Below are 4648 nucleotides of genomic sequence, written 5' to 3' on the forward strand. Positions count from 1 at the left end.
AAATCGAACACCTTTTGGAAAGGATTCACCATCCTAGATGCCATTTAAACAATTGCAATTCATGGGAGGGGGTCAAAATATCAATATTAACAGGAGATTGGAAGAAGTTTATTCTGACCCTCATGGATGACTTTGAAGGGCTCAAGACATCAGGGGAGGAAATATCTGCAGATGTGATACAAACAAGAAAAGGGCCAGAATTAGAATTGGAGACTGAAGATGTGACAGAATTATTGCAATCTTGTCATAAAACTTGAACAGATGAAGGGTTGCTTCTTATGGATGAGCAAAGAAAGTGGTTTCTTGGGATGAAATCTGCTCCTGGTGAAGATGCTGGGAACATAGTTTAAGTGACAACAAAATATTTAGAATATTACATAAACTTAGTTGATAAGACAGAGGCAAGGTTTAAGAGAGTTGACTTTAATTTTGAAAGAAGTTCTACTGTGGTTAAAATGCTATCAAACAGCATTGCATGATACAGAGAAATATTTTTGTAGAAGGAAGAGTCAATTAACATGGCAAATGTCATTGTTGTTTTATACTTAAAAATTTCCAGAGCCACCCCTGCCTTCAGCAGCCACCATCCTGATCAATGAGCAGCCATCAACATTGAGACAAGATTTCACCAGCAAAAAGATTACAGCTCACTGATGACTCAGATGATCTTTAGTATTTTTTGGCAATAAAATATTTTAAATTAAGGTATGTACATTGCTTTTTTAGACATAATGCTATTGCACCCTTCATAGACCACAGTACCATGTAAATATAAGTTTTATATGCACTAGGAAACCAAAAATTTTATGCGATTTGCTTAATTGCAATATTCACTTAATTGAAGTGATCTGAAATGGAACCTGCAATATCTCTGAGGTATGCTTATACCTGAGCAGTAATATCAGAATCGTTACTTCTGCCAGGGTACTACAACTGCAGTAAGAGAGGTGTATAAAGACAGCTGGCTTCTGAAAAATGCAGCTTACCTGAGGTGACACAGTAGGAAGGAGAGAAGGACATAAGTGCATGATCTTTCTCTCCTCCCTCCTTTTGATCCTGCTGTTGCCTCCACTCTATTCCAGTGGCTGCCTTGCTGGAGAGCAGAGGAGACAAGGTAACTCCCAACACAATCTCTGTAGGGCAGTGTCCCAGGGTGGTAAAGGATGGAGAGCGGCTGTGAGGGGCAGAGAAGATATTCAACACAACATCCTATATTTTCAAGTCAAAACTTCCTATGTCAAAAGCAAACAATCTGTGGAAGTAGTGTTATATTTTAAAAGATGATTACAGAGATTGGTATGGTTTGGATATTTATCCCCTCCAAATCTCATGTTGAAATATAATCGCCAGTGTTAGAGGTGGGGCCTGGTGGGAGGTGACTGCACTGTGGTGGTGGATCCCTCATGAATGGTTTAGCGCCATCCCCTTAGTGATAAGTGAGTTCTTGCTCAGTTAGTTCATGGGAGATCTGTGTTTAAAAGTGTGTAGCACCTACCCCTTCACTCTCCTGCTCCCACTCTTTCAGTGTGAGATGCCTGCTTCTCTTTCTGCCATGATTATAAGCTTCCTGAGTCCCTCAACAGAAGCAGATGCTGGCACCACGCTTGTACTATCTGCTGAACCATGAGCCAAACAAACCTTATTATTTTTTTTAGAGATGGGGTCTTACTCTGTCACCCAGGCTGGAGCAGTGTGGCATGATTATGGCTCACTGCAGTCTCAAATTCCTGGGCTCAAGCAATCCTCCAACCTCAGCCTCCCAAGTAGCTGGTATTGTAGGCCTGTGCCACCATGCCCAGCTAATTTTTTCCTAGAGATGGGGGTTTCCCTTGTTGCTCAGGCTGGTCTTGAACTTGTGGCCTCAAGCCATAAACCTCTTTCTTCATAAGTTACCTAACCTCAGATATTTCTTTATAGCAATGCAAGAACGATCTAACACAGAAATCTTCCCTGGACTCAAGGAACAGAGACATCTTGATGAATCAGTGTAATGTTATTCATGCTTGCTGTGTTATACAACTCAGAAAGGACAGTTCCTGGCAGACCTTGAATCAAATAGAGCTGTTGACTAGCTTTGTTCATCCATGAAGCGAAATGAGAGTCATGCTGTGTTGCATATGAGATCAGAAAATGTTGCTATCCTTGGCTAACTGCTTGCTGAAAAGTATGCAAAAGTCACTTGACTGAACTTTCAGAGCAAATCACGGCACTAGAAGATAAAAATACAATGAGCGTACTTGATGCTATAGGCAAATATTTTGATAAAAACAATTAATTGATCTATTGAGATACATAATGCATAATTACAGTTTATCTTTCGAGTTGTAAAGCACATGTTTCGTCATTTCAGGGAGGCAGTGACTTAGAGTAGTTAAATACAAGAATTTAGAGTCAGACTTGTGTCACTCCTAGCTCTCCTACTTACATGGCAGCACCCACCTGGTAAGCTCATCAATTTCTGCAAGCAGTGGTTCCTTCACCTTTAAAGTGGGCATTGTCACTTTGTTTAAATTACAATCTGATGATAATAGGAGCTAATGTTTTCCAAGCTCTTATTTTATGCTAGACACTGTGCTAAGGACTTTGTGTGCATTTTACCAATAATCTTCACAATAAACCTAGCAAAGTTGCAGTTATTCTTCTAATTTTCAAATGTAGATAATGAGTCACATGCCCAGGTCTCACTGTTAAAATGTGTAAGCCCTTGATGTGTTGCCTGGTAATGATAAGAGCTCAGATAAATATTAGCTACTGAAATTGTTTATTACTATCATTGTTAATATTACTTGTCAGCCTCTACCCTAGAAATCAGAAGTAGACAAAATGCCTTTGTAATTAAGCAAATGTGGTTAGCTTGATCTCGTACATGTGAGAATATTATAGGCCCCCATTAAAATAAAATGTAATGGTAATTATTCTTTTTAAAATGTAATTGTTCTAAAATTTGCTACTTGGGAGATGTCATATATTTAGTTATTTATGGTAATTTAATACATAAAGGGACAAGTTATCTATGTTTTTCTGATTTGTTCCCTAAATTTTATATCCTTAAAAGGAATATTTCAGTACTCACCTAGATTCCAGAGAAAAATAAACACTGTCCAAGCATTGATCTTGAAGATACAGGTTTTAAGAGTCTGAGAAAACACTGAAGATCATTTATTCATTTACTTAGCCATGCAGTTATTAAGCTACTGGTATGTTCTAGGTAGATCAGAGATTATGAAAACATATTACTAAAGACTGGTCATTGGTCTGTTATATAGAAACTGTATGTTAAGACCTACTGTGCTGCTGGATTCTTTGTAGGTAAGCCCCTTAATAAAAGAGAGAACACACTGTTTATTCTAGAAGTTTCAGAATAGGTAAAAGTAAACTATGATGAAAAGCATGAAGAAATCTTCTGCAGTGGTTAAAATGTTCTGTATCTAGATAGAGGTGTGCATAACACGCAGGACCTGCTACATAATTGGTAGGCCCATGCAAAATGAAAACATGGGACTGCTTGTTCAAAAGTTACTAAGAATTTCAAAGTGGCAATAGCAAAGCATTAAACCAAGAACAAGGTCCTGCTACGCATGGGTCCCTTTGCAACTGCACAGGTCTTACATCCTTGAAGCCCGGCCTGGTCACGTGGTGGCATTCGTTAAGTCAGTGAACTAAATCCTTCAGATCCATATGTAAATTATATCTCAGTTTTAAAAAGTTAAAATAGAGTACAATGAAATATAAAATTGAGTGGACAATTGGGGATTGAGGTCTAGTTCTCAAGTAAACCGTTGGTGCAAATTATTTATTCTTTATCAAACATTAATTGAATGACCCCCTCAGACAGGGATATGTGTCTGAGGTATATATGTATGTTTATGGTCTAAGCATAGCTGTTAAACTCAAGAAGCTTACAGTTGGAGGAGGTTTCTCTTTAAGCCCTGGTTTAAAAAATACTTTTGGCCGGCGGCAGTGGCTCACACCTGAAAACAGGCTGGGTGCGGTGTCTCACGCCTGTAATCCCAGAACTTCGGGAGGCCAAGGTGGGTGGATCCCCTGAGGTCACGAGTTTGAGACCAGCCTGGCCAACATGGTGAAATGCCGTCTCTACTAAAAATACAAAAAGTAGCTGGGTGTAGAGGCACACGCCTGTGATCTCAGCTACTAGGGAGGCTGAGGCAGGAGAATCGCTTGACCTGGGGAGGCAGAGGTTGTAGTGAGCTGAGATTGTGGCACTGCACACCAGCCTGGGCAACAGAGTGAGACTCCATCTCAAAAAAAAATACCCTTTTATTTCTGCTTATATACCTGGTCTGTGCTTTGATCTACTCCTCTTTCTAGTTTGCTACTCCTCAGTCAGACCTCAGCCATCCTGATATTACCTTGTTCCTCCTCCAAAGCAGCAATTGCTTGGTCAGTGTTTGTGGGTTTCCAGCAAGTGGCTGCAGTCCCATATCCAAGAGATTGGTGTCCTTGTTTTACTCAGTCTCATCTGGCCAGGAGTCTGCTGTTTCCTGCTGTCACCTGGAACCTCATCTCCCTGCTCAAATTTGAAAATCATGTAATACTTCTAATACCACATTAAAACTTAGGTTGTATTTTAGATAATATATTTTTTGCCCAGAATTCTGTTAAAAGTCAAATATTAAGGATGACCTGG

At 39.6% G+C, this 4648-nt stretch overlaps 3 annotated features.

Moving 5' to 3' along the window:
* Window positions 776-1975: an enhancer, noted in NCBI's record as "CDK7 strongly-dependent group 2 enhancer chr4:86322472-86323671 (GRCh37/hg19 assembly coordinates)". NCBI's record gives its function as "activates an origin of replication core promoter dependent on BRD2, BRD4, P300/CBP, MED14 and CDK7 cofactors, with strong dependence on CDK7, by STARR-seq in HCT116 cells {active_cell/tissue: HCT116}" and the evidence as "EXISTENCE:reporter gene assay evidence [ECO:0000049][PMID:35650434]".
* Window positions 776-2348: a biological region, named in NCBI's record as "CDK7 strongly-dependent group 2 enhancer GRCh37_chr4:86322472-86323671".
* Window positions 1787-2348: an enhancer, noted in NCBI's record as "OCT4-NANOG hESC enhancer chr4:86323483-86324044 (GRCh37/hg19 assembly coordinates)". NCBI's record gives its function as "activates a minimal SCP1, AML or CMV promoter by ChIP-STARR-seq in primed H9 embryonic stem cells {active_cell/tissue: H9 hESC(primed)}" and the evidence as "EXISTENCE:reporter gene assay evidence [ECO:0000049][PMID:30033119]".

The sequence above is a fragment of the Homo sapiens genome, chromosome 4 (assembly GCF_000001405.40).
Source record: "Homo sapiens chromosome 4, GRCh38.p14 Primary Assembly".
NCBI classification, from domain to species: domain Eukaryota; kingdom Metazoa; phylum Chordata; class Mammalia; order Primates; family Hominidae; genus Homo; species Homo sapiens.